The following is a 25,791-nucleotide window of genomic DNA, read 5'->3' on the forward strand; positions in this document are numbered from 1 at the left end:
CCGCCAACTCCCACATATACACTGCCCAAAGTCTGGGCTATGTACCCCCCTATAACACTGTCAACACAGCTATCTCACAGCATCACAGCTGCCTTAGTACTCGTCCATCTCCCCAAACAGGCTGTCTGTCTTTGAGGGTAGGGACTGCATCTGCTCCATTCAATAGTGTATTCCCACAGTGTCCAATACACAGCAGTTCCTTAATAAGTATTCTACAAACTCGTTAAGGAAGAATATACACACTTTCAGCTAGGAATTCCCACCTAGAAAGTTACGCCAAAGAAATAATAAAAGGAAATTTTGTTACATAATTTTTCATCAGATCAAGCAATCTGAAGTAAACCTAAATATTCATCAGATGATTTACCCCATCCCTAATATGACATATCCATGAAAGAAATATAATATAGCTATGAAAAATGATGCTGCAAAATATTCAATGACATGTATATAAAGAAGTGAAAATGAAAAACAAATTGTGTTGCACAAAACAGTACAGACAAAATGATCTCATCTTTGTAAAACATATACATAAAACTAGACACACACACACACACACACACACACACACACACACACAGTCTGACATTCTATCTACCAAAACATTAACAGTATCTTTCTTTAGGTAATAAAATTTACAGTTAATACTTATTTTCTTCTTTGGACTTTTCTCCATTTTCCTAATTCCTCAGCAAACAGCAAACAGGTATTGCTTCTACATACATTAAATAAGAATATATACTATTTTTTAAGAGATGCTCTGAAGGGGCAGTTACCTTCATGACAGAAGCAATCTGCTTCCACTGCTCCGGAGTTGGGTCAATCCCAGTTGGGTTGTGTGCACAGGCGTGGAGGACAACAATGGAGAACTCAGGAGCATTCTGAGGAGAAGGAAGCTATGTCAGCTCTGACACTGATGGGAATATTGGGAGACAGAGTCAGCAGCAGATTGGTCAGTGATGGAGGGCAAAGGGCAACCATATTCTTGTCACTCTTTCATGTCTCTTTTGTGCCCTCTCTCTTACATGCTATGTCAGAAACCACCATCAGGTATGGGGAAGGTGTCTCAGACTCCTTCACTTAGCAACTGGTCCAAAGACTTTGCCTGAGATTCCTGACACCATGCAATTCTCTACTTTTTCCTCTAAATCACCCACCTCCAGATCATTCAGGAAGCCCTGGAGGTCCAATCCTCTCTTCTCTGCATCCCAGTAGCGATAGGACCGAATGTCTTTAAAACCAGCAGCGGAAAACACAGCATTGTGATTCTCTGCATGCAAAGAAGTAAAAAGTTAAGCACTTTACAAACACTAGGAGGCATGAGTGGAAAGGATGCAAGTCAGCTTCCAGGGCCCTCCCAGGCTCAATGTCCACTGGGCATCATCCAGGCTGGGGGTTAAGATGTAGAGGAATGATTGTAACCAAGAACAAGTTCAACCAGTCACATTAATGCCAGACTTATATTCTACTACAATGATACTTCCTGCATCTACATTCTATGCCTCCTCTGGGGAGTTTCAACATAGCCTTGGTAGATACAAGTCTACTAAGAGTCTTGAGAAAGAGTATTCTTAACTTGATTTTGAGCAGCAGGTTTCTCATGCACTGCCATAACCCACTGTTCAAGCCATTCCCAACAGTCAGTTGTTCTAGGGCTGGATTACATTTTCTGTGTAACCAGGGAGAGTCATGAGGATAATTCTCTCTGGTTTCTGTTTTTCCTCTCACTTCAGCTGAAAGACTCACCCCAGGTTGGTGAGGACACATAGACAGGTGTGTTCTTGTTGTTTGTTCCATTGTACCAACGCGCTAAGAAATCAGCTCCAATTCGAAGTGCACCTGTTCCCCCCAAAGATTGCACACCTCCTACCTGAAAGAGAAGAAACAGGGTCACAGGCTGATAATGGTGAGGTCAGATAATATTTACAAAAATAAGGTAATAATGAGCACTTACTCTATGCCTGCTCTGTGCTAAGGCTTTTAATTGTATTATCTCATCAAAACCTTACAACTACTACATGAAAAAGGTACTATGATTTGCCCATGTTTACAACTGAGGAAACTGAGGCTGAGAGAGGTGAAGAACCTTGCTCAAAGTTACCAGCTACTGAGCAGGAGTGCCAGTCTTCAACCCAGGAGGTCTGACACTAGAAGAAGCTTCCCTTCTGAACACAGAGGTAGAGGACACACCGAGGCCACATTAGTGTGTGTGTGTGTGTGTGTGTGCATGCACGCACATGCCTTGGAAGGCAAACCCATCTCTTCAGCACCCATCCTAAGATCAAACTTACCCTCTAGCATAAGCCTCTAAAACAGTGTTCCTAACTTGTCATTGACATCAATCTGTGCTACTCCTCATCTCTAGAATTCAGGCTTATTAATCCTTAGAAGTATGTTCTAACAAAACAGAGGTGATGCATGAGTACTACTTTCTTCTCCTTGGCTTCCTCTCATTTTTTTTTTTTTTCTTTTTGAGACAGTCTCATTCTGTCACCTAGGTTGGAGTGCAGTGGCATGGTCTCAGCTAACTGCAACTTCCGCCTCCCAGGTTCAAGTGATTCTCCTGCCTCAGCCTCCCGAGTAGCTGGGACTACAGGCGCCTGCCACCATGCCCGGCTAATTTTTTGTATATTTAGTAGAGACGGGGTTTCACCATTTTGGCCAGGTTGGTCTCGAACTCCTGACCTTGTGATCTGCCTGCCTTGGCCTCTCAAACTGCTGGGATTACAGGTGTGAGCCACTGCGCCTGGCTGGCTTCCTCTCATCCTAAAGTGACCTAACATAGGCAATAATAAAAGCCATATTTTATTTATTTATTTATTTATTTATTTTACTTTAAGTTCTGGGATATGTGTGCAGAATGTGCAGGTTTGTTACATAGCTATACATGTGCCATGGTGGTTTGTGGCACCCATCAACCCGTCATCTAGGTTTTAAGCCCCGCATGCATTAGGTATTTGTCCTAATGCTCTCCCTCCCCTTGCCTCCCACCCACCGATAGGCCCCCGTGTGTGATGTTCCCCTCCCTGTGTCCACGTGTTCTCATTGTTCAGCTCCCACTTTTAAGTGAGAACATGAGGTGTTTGGTTTTCTATTCCTATATTTTATCATTTACAAAATGCTTTCATGTATACTCAATGCCCACATGCCCTCTAAAGTCAAGTCTATATCCCCTGAAACATGAGGAACTGATTCAGAGACATGTTTTTCCCAAAGGATACACAGTTGTGAGTGGCACAGCTCAGCACAAATCCAGGTTTTCCATTCTAGATGGAGTCACTACATTCTAATGATGTAGTTCTCTGCCTATAGATCTTTGATTTTGCCTCTTCAAAATTCTAATTAGGTTTCAGCATAAGTCTCTCAGCAGAAAAATGTCATAAACCCCATGTTGCCCAATTTGTCTAAAGGATTGAAGAGAAAGGAAGAAAAAGATCACATGAAAAAGTCTATCTAGCCGGGCGCAGTGGCTCACGCCTGTAATCCCAGCACTTTGGGAGGCCAAGGTGGGTGGATCACTTGAGCCCAGGAGTTTGAGACCAGCCTGGCCAACATGGTGAAACCCTGTCTCTCCTAAAAATACAAGAAAATTAGCTGGGCATGGTGGCACACACCTGTAATCTCAGCTACTCGGGAGGCTGAGACGTGAGAATCATTTGAACCTGGGAGGCAGAGGTTGCAGTGAGCCAAGATCGCACCACTGCCCTCCAGCCTGGGCAACACAGTGAGACTCTGTCTCAAATAAATAAATAAGTAAATACAAGGAGGGACACACGCCAATCTTCTAACAGTGGCAACCTCTGGGGAGGGGTCCAAGGATGTAGGAATAGTGGTTGAAAGGGACTTTGGCCTAATCTATAAGTCGTTTTTTTAAAAATAAGATGAATGTATTCATGTATTAGTCATAAAATTTTACAATTTCAAACACCTATTTAGATGTCTGGGATTTACTATTAAATAATAATCCAGCTTTCGTGGAGGGCAGGGAGGCAGGGAGGCAGGGAGTGGGTAGATGGAAATACACAGGATTGACCCTATACAGATAATTGTTGAAGCTAGGTGATGGATACACAGGGATTCATTCTTTATACTGTTTTCTCTACTTTCATATAGATTTGAAATGTTCCATAATAAAAAGGTTTTTTTTGTGTTTTTTTTTTGTTTGTTTTTTGAGACAGAGTCTCGCTCTGTTGCCCAGGCTGGAGTGCAGTGGCACGATCTTGGCTTACTGCAACCTCCGCCTCCTGGGTTCAAGTGATTCTCCTGCCTCAGACTCCTGAGGAGCTGGGACTACAGGCACGTACCACCACACCCAGCTAATTTTTGTGTTTTTAGTACAGATGGGGTTTCACCATGTTGGTCAGGCTGCTCTCCAACTCCTGACCTCGTGATCCGCCTGCCTCGGCTTCCCAAAGTACTGGGATTACAGGCATGAGCCACCACGCCTGGCCAATAAAAAAGTTTTAAAACTCTTCTTAGAGAAGAAAAGCTTCCTAAATCTTTTCAAGAACCTAACATAACATTGCTGCTAAAAGACAACAAAAGGGAAAAAAGTAGAATGAGAGACCTAGATCGTACCTTGATACTAACTTCCCAAGTAAACATTAATGAACAATATTAATCCAGCAGTACATTAAAATTACCCCCTTGATTGAGAGTCATCCCATGAATGGATTATAAGAGATATAAAACCAATCATGCTGCTAGATAGAGAAAACCCAAATGATCATCACAACAGGTAAGAAAAGCTTGGCTATTCCTGAGATAAATGCTTAGTAAAACAGGAAACAGTGGATACTTCCTGAAAATGACTGAAAAAAATTCATTTAACCCATAAGTCAGCTTAAAAACAGTGAATCGTTTAGTAGAAATCCCATTTAAGCCAACAACAAGGTAATGTTACCAATTATCGGCACTATTATGCACCAATGTTCTGTTTGTATTTATAGGTGTGAGCATCTGTGAAAGAATACTATCTGAAATGTGAAACATAAGCAAAGTTGACATTCAAGGGGATGCAGAACTAAACATAGCTGTACATTACAGAGAGGGGCAAAGGCAGTGCACTGGGGTGAAAATGCTCAGTGTGTGTCAGATTTGGTGTGCTAACTACTCTGTTATTTACAGTGATCCTTACTGAGCACTCATCCCTTGCTATTACTTTAAAAGTTTTGCCCCCACATTGTGGTTTACCTGAATTCTTTATGCAAATTGCTACCAAGATGATATAACACAAATGTGCATTTATTTTTTATGGATTTGTCATCCAGCTAAGTTGAATGTCAGTTTCATACATGACTTCACATTGCAGATACCTAAGCCACTCTAGAGTGCTAATACTTCCTAAGCAAATGAGCAAGACCTCCCTTGAACATGGTTTTAACTTCTGGAAACACGATAGATGCATAGATACCAGTGGAAACATTCCCAGGCATAATTTTTCATTTCCTGTTCTCAACTTTTCACTCCACCCTTTCTCTCCCACTACAGAAAGCAAATTCATTTTTTTAAAAATCAGTAGAATACATTAAAAATGTGCTTAGAAGAGATAAACCCACTCCACATTAACTAATCCTTGACATTCATGACATATATGACACTTGAAATATCAAATTCTCAAGAAGTTATCACTCCCTAAAAATCTATTAAATACTGGATGGCTTCAGTGAAACACAAGTTGCTCTAAACATCAGCAACTAACAGAAACAAGTTTTTGGTGAATCAATAATATAGCAATGTGGTCATTCTGTGAACTGATTTTTGGCAAATTGTCCTACAGCCTAAGAATGTCCTGTACTTGTTATAAAGGAAAATCATAACATCAAAGGAAGTAAGTACAGACTTCTCAAGGAGCCAGGCAACTGGACCTGGGTAAACAAGAGTATCCAGAACAAGGGAAATCCAGGAAGACTTGGTATGAAGCTAGATAGAGCAGGCCTCTGTTGGACATGTCAGCATAAGATTGCTGGATTCTAGAACCCTTGTCTGAGATAACAATTTGCCGATACTATGACTTCACCATGAGGAATAGGAGAGCAACCAGGAGCTGCCTGTGGCCAGAGCCATGCTGCATTCATCTGGGTGCCCCCAGCATCTCTCACGGCATCTGGCACATGGTACTACATAAGCATGTGCTGAACTAGATGAAGAAAGAAGACAGTGGTGAAAAGATCTGAGCCACAGCAGAAGCCCCAAGTCGCCTAGAGGCAATCAAAGCGAGAGTGGGATGTCATGATGTGACAATGAGTTATGACCCATGAGCCCTCCTTCCTACAATGCTCAGTAATCTCAAAGCTGAAACAGCACTATGCCAGAGATGAAAAATCGACATTTCTGTCTGGATCCTAAGATCTGAAAGTGGAAAAGTAATACAAGGCAGTGAGGAGTCTAGAAAATAGGTCTCCTCAAAATGGGTAAAGGATCTGGAAATGTTGAATCTGGAGAAGAAAAATCTAAGGGAAGAAACAATTACTGTTGGTTTACTTGTTCACTCATTCTTTCATTTATGTCTCGTCTTTAAGTTTTGGCTCAAATGTCATTTCTATTTCTATCATAACCACCCTAGTTAAAACTGTATCCACTCCTAGAATTCCTAACATGCCACCTCCTGCTCCATTTTTATAGCATTTATCATCTTTAGTATACTACATCATTTTCTTACTGATATAGTCAAAAAGATTACATTTAGAGTCTGTTCCTCTCCCCGAAACTGAATGCAAGGGCAGGGGATTCTGTGTGTTTGAGTCACTGCTGTGCTCCAGCATCTAGAACAGTGCCTGGCTCTAGTAGTGGGCATCTGATGACTAAAGGAATGAATGAATCCAAACCTTTGGAACCTGAGGTACCCGGATAGGAGCCAAATGCTGAAAATCTGCAAGGTAAATAAGCAATGATCACTCTCCTGGGGAAAGTTAGGGCCTTGTGGGAGATGAAGACTTATAAAATTATCCATTATAGTAAGAACAGTTAAGTACTGTTATTCCCAAGCTGTGAACAAAGTCCTGTGATAACTCAGAGAGCTTAAACAACAAGCTCTGCCTAAAATACCTAAGGATTCAGTGTGGAAGTGACCCTTGATCAGCTCTTGAAGGACTTAGAGGTGGGGACTGGACAGCTAGAGCAATAAGGGAGGGCATTCCAAATGGAGAGAAGGGCCAGGCAAAGGTTCTTAGTCTTGACAGGGCCCAGTAGGTCTAGAGAACAGCAAGACTCTTAGAATGTCAGGACCTCTAGTGGAGTGAGGGGAAATCAGCAACTGTAAGAACAGGATGAAGACTGTCACCTGTCACCTACTTTCACTGCATGCCAAGCTCAAAGTCTGGATTTTACCCTACAGGCAATGGGGGAGCTATGGGCGGTGGGGGTGGGGAGTGGGAACAGGTGACATGAGTAGCTTGTTTTGCCAAGGAAGGTCATCCTAGCTGCAGCATGCAGAATGTACTAAAACAGGGAAGAGACTAGAGGCAGGAAGGTAAATTAAGAGGCTATTAGTGAACTAAGACAGCAGCCTGGGAATGGTGAGGCCTTCCAAGCAGAAGAAAGGCTCAGAGCTCGAACAAAAGGCAGCAGAAACCTCTGCAGACTTAAATGTCCCTGTCTGACAGCTTTGAAGAGAGTAGTGGTTCTCTCAGCACGGAGTTTCAGATCTAAGAACGGACAGCCTGCCTCCTCAAGTGGGTCCCTGACCCCTGAGTAGCCTAACTGGGAGGCACCCCCCAGTAGGGGCAGACTGATACCTCACATGGCCGGGTACCCCTCTGAGACGAAACTTCCAGAGGAACGATCAGGCAGCAACATTTGCTGTTCACCAATATTCCCCGTTCTGCAGCCTCCGCTGCTGATACCCAGGCAAACAAGGTCTGGAGTGGACCGCCAGCAAACTCCAACAGATCTGCAGCTGAGGGTCCTGACTGTTAAAAGGATAACTAACAAACAGAAAGGACATCCACACCAAAAACCCATCTGTACATCATCAGAGACCAAAGGTAGATAAAACCACAAAGATGGGGAAAAAACAGAGCAGAAAAACTGAAAATTCTAAAAATCAGAGTGCCTCTCCTCCTACAAAGGAATGCAGCTCCTCACCAGCAACGGAACAAAGCTGGATGGAGAATGACTTTGACGAGTTGAGAGAAGAAGGCTTCAGAAGATCAAACTTCTCTGAGCTAAAGGAGGAAGTTCGAACCCATCGCAAAGAAGTTAAAAACCTTGAAAAAAGATTAGACGAATGGCTAACTAGAATAACCAATGCAGAGAAGTACTTAAAGGACCTGATGGAGCTGAAAACCATGGCACGAGAACTACATGACGAATGCACAAGCTTCAGTAGCCGATTCGATCAACTGGAAGAAAGGGTATCAGTGATGGAAGATCAAATGAATGAAATGAAGTGAGAAGAGAAGTTTAGAGAAAAAAGAATAAAAAGAAACGAACAAAGCCTCCAAGAAATATGCGACTATGTGAAAAGACCAAATCTACATCTGATTGGTGTACCTGAAAGTGACGGGGAGAATGGAACCAAGTTGGAAAACACTCTGCAGGATATTATCCAGGAGAAGTTCCCCAACCTAGCAAGGCAGGCCAACATTCAAATTCAGGAAATACAGAGAATGCCATGAAGATACTCCTCAAAAACAGCAACTCCAAGACACATAATTGTCAGATTCACCAAAGTTGAAATGAAGGAAAAAATGTTAAAGGCAGCCAGAAAGAAAGGTCGGGTTACCCACAAAGGGAAGCCCGTCACACTAACAGCTGATCTCTCAGCAGAAACTCTACAAGCCAGAAGAGAGTGGGGGCCAATATTCAACATTCTTAAAGAAAAGAATTTTCAACCCAGAATTTCATATCCAGCCAAACTAAGCTTCATAAGTGAAGGAGAAATAAAATCCTTTACAGACAAGCAAATGCTGAGAGATTTTGTCACCACGAGGCCTGCCCTACAAGAGCTCCTGAAGGAAGCACTAAATATGGAAAGGAACAACCGGTACCAGCCACTGCAAAAACATGCCAAATTGTAAAGACCATCGAGGCTAGGAAGAAACTGCATCAACTAACAAGCAAAATAAGCAGCTAACATCATAATAACAGGATCAAATTCACACATAACAATATTAACCTTAAATGTAAATGGGCTAAATGCTCCAATTAAAAGACACAGACTGGCAAATTGGATAAAGAGTCAAGACCCATCAGTGTGCTGTATTCAGGAAACCCATCTCACGTGCAGAGACATACATGGGCTCAAAATAAAGGGATGGAGGAAGATCTACCAAGCAAATGGAAAACAAAAAAGGCAGGGGTTGCAATCCTAGTCTCTCATAAAACAGACTTTAAACCAACAAAGATCAAAAGAGATAAAGAAGGCCATTACATAATTGTAAAGGGATCAATTCAACAAGAAGAGCTACCTATCCTAAATATATATGCACCCAATACAGGAGCACCCAGATTCATAAAGCAAGTCCTTAGGGACCTACAAAGGGACTGAGACTCCCATACAATAATAATAGGAGACTTTAACACCCCACTGTCAACATTAGACAGATCAATGAAGACAGAAAGTTAACAAGGATATCCAGGAATTGAACTCAGCTCTGCATCAAGAGGACCTAATAGACATCTACAGAACTCTCCACCCCAAATCAACAGAATATACATTCTTCTCAGCACCACACCACACTTATTTCAAAATTGACCACATAGTTGGAAGTAAAGCACTCCTCAGCAAATGTAAAAGAACAGAAATTATAACAAACTGTCTCTCAGACCACAGTGCAATCAAACTAGAACTCAGGATTAAGAAACTCACTCAAAACCGCTCAACTACATGAAAACTGAACAACCTGCTCCTGAATGACTACTGGGTACATAACGAAATGAAGGCAGACATAAAGGTGTTCTTTGAAACCACCGAGAACAAAGACACAACATACCAGAATCTCTGGGACACATTTAAAACAGTGTGTAGAGGGAAATTTATAGCACTAAATGCCCACAAGAGAAAGCAGGAAAGATCTAAAATTCACACCCTAACATCACAATTAAAAGAACTAGAGAAGCAAGAGCAAACACATTCAAAAGCTAGCAGAAGGCAAGAAATAACTAAGATCAGAGCAGAACTGAAGGAGACAGAGACACAAAAAACCCTTCAAAAAATCAATGAATCCAGGAGCTGGTTTTTTGAAAAGATCAACAAAATTGATAGACCGCTAGCAAGACTAATAAAGAAGAAAAAAGAGAAGAACCAAATAGACGCAATAAAAAATGATAAAGGGGATATCACCACCGATCCCACAGAAATACAAACTACCATCAGAGAATACTATAAACACCTCTATGGAAATAAACTAGAAAATCTAGAAGAAATGGATAAATTCCTCGACACATACACCCTCCCAAGACTAAACCAGAAAGAAGTTGAATCTCTGAATAGACCAATAACAGGAGCTGAAATTGAGGCAGTAATTAATAGCTTACCAACCAAAAAAAGTCCAGGACCAGACGGATTCACAGCCGAATTCTACCAGAGATACAAGGAGGAGCTGGTACCATTCCTTCTGAAACTATTCCAATCAATAGAAAAAGAGGAAATCCTCCCTAACTCATTTTATGAGGCCAGCATCATCCTGATACCAAAGCCTGGCAGAGACACAACCAAAAAAGAGAATTTTAGACCAATATCCCTGATGAACATCGACGCAAAAATCCTCAATAAAATGCTGGCAAACCAAATCCAGCAGCACATCAAAAAGCTTATCCACCATGATCAATGGGCTTCATCCCTGGGATGCAAGGCTATTTCAACATACACAAATCAATAAACGTAATCCAGCATATAAACAGAACCAAAGCCAAAAACCACATGATTATCTCAATAGATGCAGAAAAGGCCTTTGACAAAATTCAACAGCCGTTCATGCTAAAAACTCTCAATAAATTAGGTATTGATGGGACGTATCTCAAAATAATAAGAGCTATCTATGACAAACCCACAGCCAATATCATACTGAATGGGCAAAAACTGGAAGCATTCCCTTTGAAAACGGGCACAAGACAGGGATGTCCTCTCTCACCACTCCTATTCAACATAGTGTTGAAAGTTCTGGCCAGGGCAATCAGGCAGGAGAAAGAAATACAAGGTATTCAACTAGGAAAAGAGGAAGTCAAATTGTCCCTGTTTGCAGATGACATGATTGTGTATCTAGAAAACCCCATCGTCTCACCACAAAATCTCCTTAAGCTGATGAGCCACTTCAGCAAAGTCTCAGGATACAAAATCAATGTGCAAAAATCACAAGCATTCTTATACACCAATAACAGACAAATAGAGAGCCAAATCATGAATGAACTACCATTCACAATTGCTTCAAAGAGAATAGAATACCTAGGAATCCAACTTACAAGGGATGTGAAGGACCTCTTCAAGGAGAACTACAAACCACTGCTCAACGAAATAAAAGAGGATACAAACAAATGGAAGAACATTCCATGCTCACGGATAGGAAGAATCAATATCATGAAAATGGCCATACTGTACAAGGTAATTTATAGATTCAATGCCATCCCCATCAACCTACCAATGACTTTCTTCACGGAATTGGGAAAAACTACTTTAAAGTTCATATGGAACCAAAAAACAGCCCCCATTGCCAAGTCAATCCTAAGCTGGAGGCATCATGCTACTTGACTTCAAACTACACTACAAGGCTACAGTAACCAAAACAGCATGGTACTGGTACCAAAACAGAGATATAGACCAATGGAACAGAACAGAGCCCTCAGAAATAATACCACACATCTACAATTATCTGATCTTTGACAAACCTGACAAAAACAAGAAATGGGGAAAGGATTCCCTATTTAACAAATGGTGCTGGGAAAACTGGCTAGACATATGTAGAAAGCTGAAACTGGATCCCTTCCTTACACCTTATACAAAAATTAATTCAAGATGGATTAAAGACTTAAATGTTAGACCTAAAACCATAAAAACCCTAGAAGAAAACCTAGGCAATACTATTCAGGACATAGGCATGGGCAAGGACTTCATGTCTTAAACACCAAAAGCAATGTCAACAAAAGCCAAAATTGACAAATGGGATCTAATTAAACTCAAGAGCTTCTGCACAGCAAAAGAAACTACCATCAGAGTGAACAGGCAACCTACAGAATGGGAGAACATTTTTGCAATCTACTCATCTGACAAAGGACTAATATCCAGAATCTACAAAGAACTCAAACAAATTTACAAGAAAAAAACAAACAACCCCATCAACAAGTGGGCGAAGGATATGAACAGACACTTCTCAAAAGAAGACATTTATGCAGCCAACAGACACATGAAAAAATGCTCATCATCACTGGCCATCAGAGAAATGCAAATCAAAACCACAATGAGATACCATCTCACACCAGTTAGAATGGTGATCATTAAAAAGTCAGGAAACAACAGGTGCTGGAGAGGATGTGGAGAAATAGGAACACTTTTACACTGTTGGTGGGACTGTAAACTAGTTCAACCGTTGTGGAAGATAGTGTGGTGATTCCTCAGGGATCTAGAACTAGAAATACCATTTTCCCAGCCATCCCATTACTGGGTATATACCCAAAGGATTATAAATCATGCTGCTATAAAGACACATGCATACATATGTTTATTGCAGCACTATTCACAATAGCAAAGACTTGGAACCAACCCAAATGTCCATCAATGATAGACTGGATTAAGAAAATGTGGCACATATAAAAGGATGAGTTCATGTCCTTTGTAGGGACATGGATGAAGCTGGAAACCATCATTCTCAGCAAACTATCGCAAGGACAAAAAACCAAATGCTGCATGTTCTCACTCATAGGTGGGAATTGAACAATGAGAACACTTGGACACAGGAAGGAGAACATCACACACGGGTCCTGTTGTGGGGTGCGGAGAGGGGGGAAGGATAGCATTAGGAGATATACCTAATGTAAATGATGAGTTAATGGGTGCAGCACACCAACATGGCACATGTATACATATGTAACAAACCTGCATGTTATGCACACGTACCCTAGAACTTAAAGTATAATTAAAAAAAAAAATATATATATATATAAAAAGAAGGGCTCAGAGCTCAATAACCACTGGTACCCACAGTGATGTATTAATAGATGCCAAGAGAGTATCCAAAAAGTATATCTTCAAATATTTGCTGCCATGAAGATGGCCTTTTAAAATTGTTTTATGGTCAAAAATATAAAACAGGAGAAACTAGATTAAGAGGGAGGGCTATGTTCCCAGGGTCAAGGCTACAAAAAATAGCCTTAAGTCTTACAGTGTAAGTCATCAAATGGAGATCAATGGGCAGAGGAACAGCATCTGCCCAACATAGTTAACAACTATATAAGAAATGCAGTATTAGAGGAAGAAACTCCCCAACATGGAATCTCTGTTTTCATTTGTCAGCAACAGAATTCCAACTAATTTATTTAGTTTCAGAAGAGAGGCCCCAGTGGCCTATGTTCCCCACTTTCTTTTTTTTTTTTTTTCTTTTCTTTTGAGACAGGGTCCCATTCTGTTGCCCAGGCTGGAATGCAGTGGTGCAATCATGGCTCACTGCAGCCTCCACTTCTTGGGGTCAAGCAATCCTCCCACCTCAGTCTCCCAAGTACCTGGGACTACAGATGCATGCCACCATGCCCGGCTAATTTTTGTATTTCCTTGTAGAAACGGGTTTTTGCCATGTTACCCAGGCTGGTCTTGAACTCCTGAGCTCAAGTAATCTGCCCACCTTGGCCTCCCGAAGTGCTGGGATTACAGGCGTGCATCACCACGCCTGGCCAGTTCCCCACTTTCAAACTTCATTAGGATTCTCCTCTACCTCTGCAGAAACACTGGATTTTCAGAAAAACTTCCCAATATGATTAATAATCTCTATACTCTTAACTATTCTAACCATATGACTTCAGTTCATTGAGGCAAATCATAGTCTCTCATTCCAATCCATACAAAACCTTAATGAAGTTCATTACTTGCCTAATCATGGACCTGAGTCCCAAGACCTTCACCAGGGCCTTCCCTGCTTCCTGGTACATGTACAAATGTATGGGTGTGCAACCTTTATTGTCCTCTGCCATTCTGCTTATCAGGGCATCTGGGTAACATGATATATAAAAGGAAAACCTACTGTACACAGCATGTGGGGAATAAATCAGATGACTCCAAGATGTGGTTTCCTCAATGCATGAATTACAGGCTACATCACAACACTGACCCAGGGGAATGATAATGGCCACTGGTTTAAACTGTGCAATTCCCAACTGGACTAGTGCAAAAATCTGAGCTCTTCTTTTTCCCACCCACCCAATCAGACTTATCTTCTTCAAACAACACTTTTATTGGGTAACTCCTCTGCTCCAACCTTCAGTTGGCTTCTCCTGCCCTGGCTGCCAGAATCAGCCTGCCTAACCTATCCAACATGTTCCCAGCTCTCATCAGGTAGGTCTCTTTACAAGCTAGACCTGCTTAGCTCTTGCCTCTGTCCCTGGACTCCTACCATGCAAGATGAATATCCTTCCTCTTGCCCCTCTTCCATATTTTATGGTTCTCAAAACTGGCTATACTTTGAAAACACCTGGGGAGTATTTAAAAAATATGCCCATGGGGGAGAAGAAAAGGGAGTGAAAGAGAGGGGAGAAGGGTGGTGCCTCCAAGATTCTGATTTACCTGGCCTGGCATGGGGTCCACAGGGCCCAGCCACAGTATGTTTTTAAAAACTCCCCAGGTAATACTAACATCCAGCTGGAGCTGAGAACCAGTGTCCCGGCCTCGCTCACACATTCTCTAAGATTCAGCTCAAGTGCCATCTCCAGCACTCATAGGTCTCCCTCCCCTCTGAATTCCTACAACACTGAGAATCTGTTCCACTTCCTGGAACACACAGCCTATCTCACTGTGTCTACTTCCAAATGTGTTCTTCCTCCATGTATCTCCAGTTACACACAGACTATATACCAGGAAGCACTTAAATGATAGGTGCTGAGATCAACAGTAGAAGTATTAAAGAATATTAGAACTGGCAGGGACTTTAGACAGCATCTACTAGTAGCTCCTGAACCCTTGAAGGGCCACAGACACCTTTTGAAAATCTGCTAAAAGCTATGCACCTTCTCCCAAGAAATAAGTACACACAAAATTCTGCATATAATTTCAGGGGACTCAGAGGCCCCTTAAACAATTCCCTACGCAAGTGCTCCTCATGGGATCACAGACTCGCACTATGTGGTCTTTTTCTAACATGTGTATGTGAGCCCAGAGGGCTAAATGACTTGCCTATGATCAAAAGTAGTGGCAGAGTTGGATCTAGAACCCTGGTGTCTTTATCACTCCATTAAATTCTTTCTACTTGGCATCTCCACTGACTGCTTCAAATGCAGTAGCTAAAATCTGATGATCTACTGGGCAAAACTGAACAAGTGAAAAAGCCGTGCTTTGTACATGGCCACATTATTTGCGCTATCAGGTTCCTGAACTCGCGCTACAGAAACACTTATTCATTGGCAGTTCAATAGACATAACGCCTAATATTTTAAACAAACTGTATTCTCAACATCTTTTTACTTTCAGTTTCTAAAGAGAAAATACATCCTTACCCAAAACTTACCCGCTTCTCCTTGAGTGCTGGGCTGTCATCCCCAAGGGCAAGACGAGAAGCACAGCTCCGGAACTCAGCCAGGCCCAGGATTGGCAGATACTCGTGATTTAGGCTATTGTCATTAGCAATCTTCTGCTCCACTTTCTTCACTACTGGCAAAACCCAGGGATGGCAGTCATCCGTGCGATATGCTGGAGAATGGAAAAGAGTTATACATAGTGGAGGCTCATGCTGTGTCCAAGTTAAGAGTTTGTAACTGTGAACCAGGAGAATCCCACCACCTTCCGGTCAAAACAGAACAGTGAAGGAAATTGGAGAAAAGTTTGTTCACTTACTGAGTACCTAATTTGAGCCAAGCATTGGGCTAGGTGCTGGGCAAACATAAGGGCAGATGTGGTCCCCATCCTTGTGGAACTTACAGCTCTTAACTATGTGACCTCCAAAAAGTAGAATGCTGAAATAAAACTGGGACATCACAGAGCCTGGTCACATGAGAAAGTACATAGAAAAGCACTCTGCAAAGTAAAAAGCATCTTGCAAATGTCATGTCAATATCACTAGTGCACTGAGGTCTCTAGGCCATTGGCCCAGCAGTCTTCTTCCTTCTGCATCTCCCCAAGAGACTTCCAGAAAAAGCCTAGGTGCTACTTCCACATGAACCTGGCACCTTTAACACAAACATGGAGAAGGAGTGGAAGAAGGCCCACCACTCCTCTTGTCCCAGAGGAACAGAAATAAGACGAATGATAAGCAAATGCCCTGACGATTTCAATGACAGGTGACACAATCACCCAAGGACCCACTTAAACACATCTCTATCCTCTCTCTGTATTTTGACCTCAGCCAGTGTTTACCCTTCTGACTTCATCCCACTTCATCTGCCTCACCCTTTCATTGATCTAAATTGATCTATTTCACAATATTTGATCCTGCTCTACAGTAAACCTCTAAGCATTTCCTCTTCCTCTGAAAGTATTTTTAAGTCACTCTGAGTTATCCAGCACCAATTTTTTTCCCTACACTATTCTATGATTATGTTAGGATTAGAGCTTTACAGGGCAGTTACCTTAGCTTTGCACCCACGCCAATAATCTGTCCAAGTAGGATTCCTGGCAGGGGTCATTTGCCTCTCTGTTTGAATGTTTAGGTCCTCAATAATCCTACACTTACGCAAGTGATTTTGAAATGGAAACAAAATTTTAGAGTGATACTGATTTTTATTTTCTTGATTTCTGCCCAAAATTAATCCCTGACTTAAAAAAAAAATTACATTTTAGGGTTGTTGTTACCATTTACTGAACAACACGTGTTGATTGTAGAAAATTGGGAAAAGCCCAGAAGGTAAAAAATAAACATTATAATTAACATGTGATTGTGTTTTGAAATGTGAGAAGGCGATGAGATTTGATAGGGGTCAGGAGTAGACTGATATAGTTTGGCTGTGTGTCCCCACCCAAATCTCATGTTGAATTGTAATCTCCAGTGTTGATGGACCATGGGGGCAGATTTCTGCCTTGCTGTTCTTGTGACAGTGAGTGAGTTCTCACTACATCTGGTTTTTTAAAAGTGTATAGCACCTCCCGCTTTGCTCTCTCTCCTGCTGGGCCATGTGAAGGTGCTTGCTTGCGCTTCACTCTTCCTCCATGATTGTAAGTTTCCTGAGGCCTCCCAACCATGTTTCTTATATGGCCGGTGGAACTATGAGTCCATTAAACCTCTTTTCTTTATAAATTACCCAGTCTCAGGTAGTTCTTTATAGCAGTGTGAGAACTAACATAACATATAATCCCAGTACTCAGAGACAAGGAGTATGAAAATTTTGGTGTACAACCTTCTAAGCTTTATTTTTGATGGGCATATTCTTTTATAAAATATGGATCAAACTGTACATAGAATTTCAACATGCTTTTTTCCATTTAAATATATACTATGCATTTTTCCTCCTCATTAACTATTCTTCTAATAGGTGACATGTTTGCATGTCTCCATCCCATTCTTATCCTCTATCTACCTAGTTCTCAAATCCCTCCCTCCATAAATAACAACTGTTAGTTTCTTACATATCCTTCCTGCATTTCCCTATGCCTACACAAGCAAACACAGCTTCTTACATATGCCCTTTTAAACAAAAGGTAGCATACGGCATACTATACACTGTTTTGTGTTCCTTGCTTTTTCCACTTGAAAATCATTTTACATTTGCGCATAGAGAGCGTCCTTGTTCTTTTTTACAGCTGCTTAGCTGATGAATGTACCATATTTTACTTTGCCAGTCTCTTGTTGGACATTTGAGTTGTTTACAATCTTTGGCTATTAAAACAATACTTCAGTGAACGACCCTGTACATACGTCATCTCACATGTATGCAAATATATCTGTAAGATGCTGGGTGGAAAACAAAAGAGTGGGCTAAGAAGTATGTGTTTTTGTAATTTTGACAAATATTTCCAAATTGTCCCAATTGATACAGGAATTATATCAATTTACATTCCCACCAGCACTGTTTAAGAGCGTTTGCTTCCACACAGCCTTACGCACTGAGTGTATTTTTGCCAATATAATATGTCAAGTAGTTTTAATTTGCATTTATCTTATTATGAATGCAATTGGGTATTTTTCATAAATATGAGCCATTTACAACATCAGTTTAGTGGATAAATAATATTTGTTTTATATATAATTTATTAACTGTGTTGCTTTAAATTATTTGCTATTATAAACATTGTGATAAATGTTCATATATTTACACATATTCATGAGTGTTTTCTTAGGAAAAATATCTAAATGTTAATTTATTAGGTCACAGGATATACAGTAAAAAGACTTTATAAGATCATTTTGAATGATCAGCTAACTCTACCCTCCAGGAATATGTCATCTGCAAATCTGAGAAACATTTCAAGTTAGTAATAGAAATGTGGACAGGGCTACAGACTGACAGAGCCACTGACCAAATGCCTCTGGGTAGGTGAATCAAACAATACTCTCATACCACTCATAGTCTACCCTCCGGCTCTGGTGAATCTAACTCACAATATTTTTTTCTTTTTTTGAGACAGGGTCTCACTCTGTTGCCCAGGTGAGAGTGCAGTGGCACGAACACAGCTCACTGCAGCTTCAACCCCCTGGGCTCAAGCAATTCTCTTGCCTCAGCTTCCCATGTAGCTGAGACCAAAGTCATTCACCACCAGGACCAGCTAATTTTTTTTTTTTAAATTTTTCATAGAAACAGGGCCTCACTTTGTTGCCCAGGCTGGTCTCAAACTCCTGGGCTCAAGCAAACCTCCCGCCTCGGACTTCCAAAGTGCTGGGATTACAGGAGTGAGCCACCATGCCTGGCCCAACTCACAATACTCTCATACCATTCATGATATACCCCTTAGTCCACCAAACTTCTCAACAAGTTCAAAAAGCCTCCTTCGCCAGCTGGGATTTGGTCTGGCTTCTCTAAAGATGTACCAAAATAGCTACTTCCAAGTAAGAGTTGTCCCTAAAGCACATCAACATATCTATGATCACAACGTTACCATTGTTCAAAATATTCTTGAAACTTCTTTTGGAATTGTTTCTAGAGGCAACATCTCATTATTTTGAATAGCCTCAATAGTGCCAAATCTTTGTCCTTTGAAAGTCAATTATTTTTCGGGAATAGCATTTGCATCATCTCCATTGAAAAGAGTGAGTGAATAAGCTGGGTAAAACTTACGGAGAACAATTATTTTAAAAAATGATCCCTTGTGTGGGTCCTACATGCCTTGATAGCTAGTCTAAAAGGGGTTTCTAGAAATCTTGGAACAAGAAAAGCATATTTGAACTACCTACAAAGGATACTAGGTAGATGCAAAAAAATTTGGGATGTTTATAGAAAAACCAGTTCTGTTATGTTTCAGTTCTGTGTCTGGGTGTTATATCTATTCTATAACATTATTAGGCTATGTGTTTATATTTATGATAATATGTCATTCACAAATAATGTGCTATGAATAAATAAAATATGAAAGAGAAAGAAAAGACTGGAATACTGCTGTTCTTACCACTACTGAATACTCTGTGAAACTCTAAAATTCCAATACTACTACTTGGGTTGGGGATGGTTGGAGAGGCATTGTGTCTATACTGTGACTAAAAAAAAACTGGCCAATTTACAACTCCCCTTCCTTCTCCATTGCCCAGTTTTTCCCAGGTTGAGTTCTAGATTTGTTCCTGATGCCTCTCCTAACTGCCCTAGTGAAGCAGAACCAGATTCCTCTTGGGTGACTGGAGCAGTGGGGTCAGGCATTAACAACAACCACTATTCCTGCTGTCCCCAAGAATTTTTATTCCTATTTGTTGGACCCTTGAGTTTCTCATTCACTCTTTCATTCACTCGCTCACATAACAAGTACTTACTAAGTCTCACCATGAGCCAGGCACTGGCTAGTAGAAGCTATAGAGATTGATAAAATAAGATCCCATCTGCCCTCCAAGAAACACAGAGCATAGATAGAGCCTTTAATTCTAATTTGAGGAATCAGAGAAGATTTTACAGAGAATGAAGAATGAAAGATGAATAAGAGTTTAAAAGGTAAACAAGGGAAGAAGGGCATGCGAGAGGGCACACCTGTGCAAGGCCCCAGAGGCCTGGGGAGCATGAGGTCTTTGAGGATCTGCATTTTCATGACTCTGATGTGGAATCCACTAAGGATTAGCTGGGAGTGGCTAAAAGAATCCTGGAGTCTCTTTTAGGGAACTTCAGTTTCAATGGGTAACCACTGAAAGCATTTAAGCAAGAGAGTAACATGAGCAGCTGCACATTTTAATGGGATCATTTGAGTGACACCACAGAAAATAAACCAGAGAGAAGGACAGAGACAGTAGTTAAGAAGGGTGAGTTACTAGAAGTAGAAGGAGTAGAAAGCTACTGCAATATTCCAGAAGCGAAATAATGAGGCCTTGAATTCACACAATGGCAGCAGGGATGAAGAAAAGGGGTGCCATTGGAAATAGATTCGAGGTAGAAAAGACAGAACCTATTGACCAAATAAAAAGACAGGGGATTGGGGAAAGGGCTGCTGTTGACTCCAAGGTCTCCCTCAAGTCTGGATAATGAGTGGATGGTGGTAGTGGGGTCGACCAAGACCTAGAACACAAGGGGAAGATAGAAGAAAAGATCAAGGGGAAGGTGGAAATGATGAGCTGTGCTTTGAACATGCTGAATTTGAGGGAGTTGTAGGATGTGTCCACTGTAGGCCTGACATTCAGAGATGAGGTCTGGGGCATGGAGAAAGACATTGACGGAACCTGAGGGCAGAGAAATAACAACACGGATTTACTAAATACTTTGTACATACAAGGTACTGCACTAAATACATTTCTTTACTCTCATTTAATTTGGATAGCAACCCACAAAATAGATATTGTGATGTCTATTTTAAGGATCTGGCTGCTGCAGCCAGAAAAGTCAAACCATTTGCCCAGGATCACAGAGATAACAAGAGCTAGGCTGTCATACTATTAAGTTCATGGATCCATGTGCTTTTTTAAAAGCAAGAGATGTCTAGAGAAAGCCTGAAGCAAGCAGGCCCCTGGGACCATGTCAGGGGCCTTTTTATCAGCATGCTCCCCAGCTCCATGCCCCACTGCTCTTCTTCCTGGACATAAACCCTTTTAGGGGAGTCACACAGTCTACAGGTGGGCCCAGCAGTCTTGCTTTGCAGAAGGAAAGGAAGAAAGAACACAGATTTAAATGGTCAAACCATCACCCTCATCTTCCTCCTAAGATCGCCACTTCCCTCACCTATCCCCACTCAAGAGCCTATTAGGATACTGGGGAGAAGGCTAGGGGTACTCAGAAACATCTGATAAAGCATATTTTCCCAACTATTTTATTTGAAGATGCTAGGAAACCATGTTGAAAATAAGAAATATTAAAGCTAGCAGAGTTTATCTGGGCCAAAAGAAAGCTAGGCTCACATGAAAAAATGGACTGGAGTCTTTGAAGAAACTTCTTGCTACAGGTTGCACCAGGTTGGATCCATTTCCCATGTCCTTAAAACCACTTCAGTCTGAAGCTTTGAGAAGCACTAAAATGATCAACTTAGAAAGCATTGTGCTTAGCAGTGGAAAATGTGATACTCTCCTCTGTTTACCTATAAGGAAATTATTTAAATCATCACAGCAAGAAGAAAAACTGAGGAAACTAGCTGCAAGTAGGAACTGTCTGAGATTACAGGTGCAGTTTATTCTAAACGTGTCCAAAATCACTGGAACATTAACTAGATAACCTCCATTAGGTTTTATATTAACTTGGGGGAAAAAAAGTATCTTCCCTAAGGTCAATGATTAATTACATTTTCTTCACAAGGGGTATACTTGGGGATGTGTATAAATAAGACTAGGACATATAACGGCTGGAAGGAGACCTTTTATTCTACTCTAATTAGATCCTTATCCAAACACCTGCTATCCACAAAAAGACGGGTCACAGTGATGATCAAAAATAACACTTATATATGACACTTTTCATTTATATATCACATTTCACATATAATTATTCATTTAATCCTCAGACAACTGATGAGGCCAGTAAAATTATTATCCTACGCTACAGTCATAGAATGTGCTAGTGAATTGTGGAGTTGACTTTTAGTACAGTAGAATCTTTTTTATTTATTTATTTATTTATTTATTTTTGAGACGGAGTCTCACTCTGTTGCCCAGGCTGGAGTGCAGTGGCGCGATCTCAGCTCACTGCAAGCTCCGCCTCCTGGGTTCACGCCATTCTCCTGCCTCAGCCTCCCGTGTAGCTGGGACTGCAGGCGCCCGCCACCACGCCCTGCTAATTTTTTTGTATTTTTAGTAGAGACGGGGTTTCACCGTGTTAGCCAGGATGGTCTCAATCTCCTGACCTCGTGATCCGCCCGCCTCGGCCTCCCAAAGCGTTGGGATTACAGGCGTGAGCCACCATGCCTGGCCCAGTAGAATCTTAAGAGTAGAATTTGGGAGAGAGGTCATTCAATCTTGGCTCCTCATTTAACAGATGAGCCCCAGGGATGTTAAACAACCCTTCCAAGTCACATGGCTGGACCACGGTGCTGGGCCTGTACCTAGGTCTCCTGGCTCTTCCCACTACAGTGTACTGGCTACCACCTGGAGGTACCTGAAATACAGGTGTGGGCAGAGACTCTGAGGCCTGAGAGACCTGGCCTGGATTCCCAGCTCTACCACCCAGTGGTCAAATGACCTGGGGCAAATTGCTTCACCTCTCCAGTCTTCGGCTTCCTTGCCTCTAAACAGTAATAGTAATAAACCACCCTCCAGAGTTGTGAGCATTCAGTGAGATTACATGCATAAATAATTTGCTCATGGTAAGGAGTTGGAGTTCCTGGAAAACATGACAAAGGCACCTTCACAGCTGAGGTGGCCGTCTGAGTCAATGACTCCAATTCTGAGTCCATTGCTTCTGGCCTGTGCTGTCGGGGTGCTTTTTCTCTGCAGGAGCAGTTTATTTCTGAACCAAGGTCATAAATTAGTTCATTTTGCAGTTCTTGAACTGAAAATTTTTATTCAATATCTTTTATGAGAATCACTCAAAGAAATGCCAAAACAACAATAACAGTAATACCTAACACTTATATAAATCCTACTTATGTGCCAAATACAGCTATAAACACTTTAAATGTACTTAATCCTCACAGAAACCCTGTAAGATAGTTCAAAGGTAAATTGAATTAATAAAATAAATCTGACGTGGTTTTTTGTTTTTTTTTTTCTTTCTTTCTTGAGACGGAGTCTCACTCTGTTACCCAGGCTGGAGTACAATGGCGTGATCTTGGCTCACTGCAACCGCCACCTCCCAGGTTCAAGCGATTCTCCTGCTTCAGCCTCCCAAGTAGCTGTGACTACCAGTGTGCACCACCACGTCTGGCTAATTTTTGTATTTTTAGTAAAGATGGGGTTTCACCATGTTAGCCAGGCTGGTCTCGAACTCCTGACCTCAGGTGATCCACCTGCCTTGGCCTCCCAAAGTGCTGGGATTACAGGCGTGAGCCACCGTGGCAGGCAAAATCTGACGTTTTAAAAAGATGTATTTAGATTGACAGTAATACTAGTTCTTTGTATACATCCCGCTGCAAAGAAACGCTTGGAGGTTTTGGACTGGTTTTAAATTAAGAGACCAAATGGTGTCCATTCAAATTCAATTTGAGGCAATCTTTCAACATTTCTCCCACTCAGTTGCCTGCTAAAAACATCATTTTCCCTCAATGGGCCAAACTATGTAGTACTGACTTATCTTAAAAGCTTTATGATGAAAAATTTCAAACCTATACAAAAGCTGAGAGAATAATATAACGTATGCCCATGTACCCATCATCCAGCTTCAACAAATTACCCGCTTCAACAAACCATCACTTTTCAATGGATTTTTCCTTACCCCTCCCCATACTCCTTAGTGAAGACTTTTTTTTTTTTTTGAGAAAGAGTCTCGCTCTGTCGCCCAGCCTGGAGTGCAATGGCACGATCTCGGCTCACTGCAACCTCCGTCTCCCGGGTTTAAGCAATTCTTCTGCCTCAGCCTCCCGAGTACCTGGGACTATAGGCGGCCAACACCACGCCCGGATACTTTTTTGTATTTTTAGTAGAGATGGGGTTTCACCGTGTTAGCCACGATGGTCTCATCTCCTGACCTCGTGATCCGCCCGTCTCAGCCTCCCAAAGTGCTGGGATTACAGGCCTGAGCCACCGCGCCCGGCCGACTTTTTTTTTTTTTTTTTAACAAATGCTATGCACAGACAAAACGTTATCTATGAGAAACCTGATTCTGAGCGTCCTTCATGTCACACTCTGCTACAAAATGATTCCACCTTCTCTTTCCACAATTTCTAGTCCTTTTATTCTAAGTCTATTACCTAGCATAAGACTTTATCCTACCCATTTTCATCTCTCTGGCTGGTCTTTGCACGTGGCAAAATCCAAATGGAGAAAATAAGTGTCTGTGGGGCTTCAAACATCCAAATGATAGTGAGAAGAATAACAAATTCATCAGAGAGGGTTAGGGGTAAAAAATTTGAGAGGCACTCCAATATAAATCTTCTTGGCAGATGGGGAAACTGAGGCCCATGCTCTGAGCTGTCCAAGGTACAGAAGAGAATCACTTGAATCAAGAAATGAAGATAGGATGTGTGGAAAGTAAGCTTCTACCATCCATACTTCTCTCCACTCCTTTCCACCATCTCTACCCATTCCTACCACATCTGTGACGGCCAGAACCATCTCCCCAGACCCCCCGGGGGCAGCATTAACCTGTCTCAAAGCATTGTGTAACACCAGCAGATTTTTAAATCCTTAAGGGCAAAATCAAGCCTCAGTCTCCCCCTACAAAGCTTAATAAGGTGGCTGATTGATACTCGGTGGTCACTCAAATATTTACCGACTCAGAACAGAGCTTTCTAGCGTTAAAAGTTCTCCTTTACCCATTTCCTAGCAACCAGAACCCTAAGCCTATCAGGCTTCCTATTTTTCTACCTCTCTCTACAAGCTCCGGCAGCCTCATTTCTTAGGAGGATGCAGTATAAAGAAGGCAGAATGGGGAATCGGAAAGACTGAGTTTGTGTCTTGGCTGCTACACCTGGTTTGTGCGGCCTCGGACACATCGCCCCTTTCCAGGGACTCCACACCTGCATCTGTAAAATGGGCAGGTTTTAGGAAGCCTTCGTGGATCCAGCCTCCTCTCCGGCGCCGCCCTCTTCAGGCAGCGCCACACTGGGCCTCGGCTTCTCCCACAGTCTCCACGACCTGGGTTGGGTCCGCTCCACTCCCCGAGCTGCTCACACTCCAGAGCACTACATCCTTACCTCCCACTCCCAGGTTGACCTTGCGGGGGTCCGGATCCTCCCTGAAGTCGGCAGTGAGCTTGAAGACCAGGACAGGCTGGGCCTGCGGAACCTCGGCAAAGACTGACGGAGGTGCCATATCGAGAGACTAGGAATCAAGAGATTTCACCCCACGCCCGGAGCTGGCAGGTCAGGTCTGGCCGTTGCGACTGGAGGAGACACTCACCTTCACCTAGCCGGCGGGGGCGGGCCCGCGGCCTCCAATGGTCGAGCCGCGTCCAAAGCTTGGCAACGCGATTAACCAATCGCCAGCTTCTGACGACGAAGGCACAGGGGAGAAGGAA

General features: G+C 42.0%; 1 protein-coding gene across 1 annotated transcript in view, besides 2 other annotated features; it reads right to left on the minus strand.

Annotated features, from left to right (window-relative positions):
* The window catches only part of GOT1 (glutamic-oxaloacetic transaminase 1), a 33,755-nt gene extending 8,110 nt beyond the window's left edge, over positions 1–25,645 (minus strand). Inside the window, exons 1-5 of the mRNA NM_002079.3 lie at positions 25,469–25,645; positions 15,645–15,826; positions 1,747–1,870; positions 1,158–1,270; positions 777–881 (exon numbers count right to left, since the gene is read on the minus strand). Coding sequence (NP_002070.1) covers positions 777–881; positions 1,158–1,270; positions 1,747–1,870; positions 15,645–15,826; positions 25,469–25,586 — 642 coding nt within the window. The 5' untranslated portion in view covers positions 25,587–25,645. The remainder of the gene's footprint in view (positions 1–776; positions 882–1,157; positions 1,271–1,746; positions 1,871–15,644; positions 15,827–25,468) is intronic.
* Positions 25,486–25,545: an enhancer, noted in NCBI's record as "active region_3868". NCBI's record gives its function as "activates an Ori minimal core promoter by ATAC-STARR-seq in GM12878 lymphoblastoid cells {active_cell/tissue: GM12878}" and the evidence as "EXISTENCE:reporter gene assay evidence [ECO:0000049][PMID:35858748]".
* Positions 25,566–25,615: an enhancer, noted in NCBI's record as "active region_3869". NCBI's record gives its function as "activates an Ori minimal core promoter by ATAC-STARR-seq in GM12878 lymphoblastoid cells {active_cell/tissue: GM12878}" and the evidence as "EXISTENCE:reporter gene assay evidence [ECO:0000049][PMID:35858748]".

Source organism: Homo sapiens, chromosome 10 (genome assembly GCF_000001405.40).
Source record: "Homo sapiens chromosome 10, GRCh38.p14 Primary Assembly".
Lineage (NCBI taxonomy): Eukaryota > Metazoa > Chordata > Mammalia > Primates > Hominidae > Homo > Homo sapiens.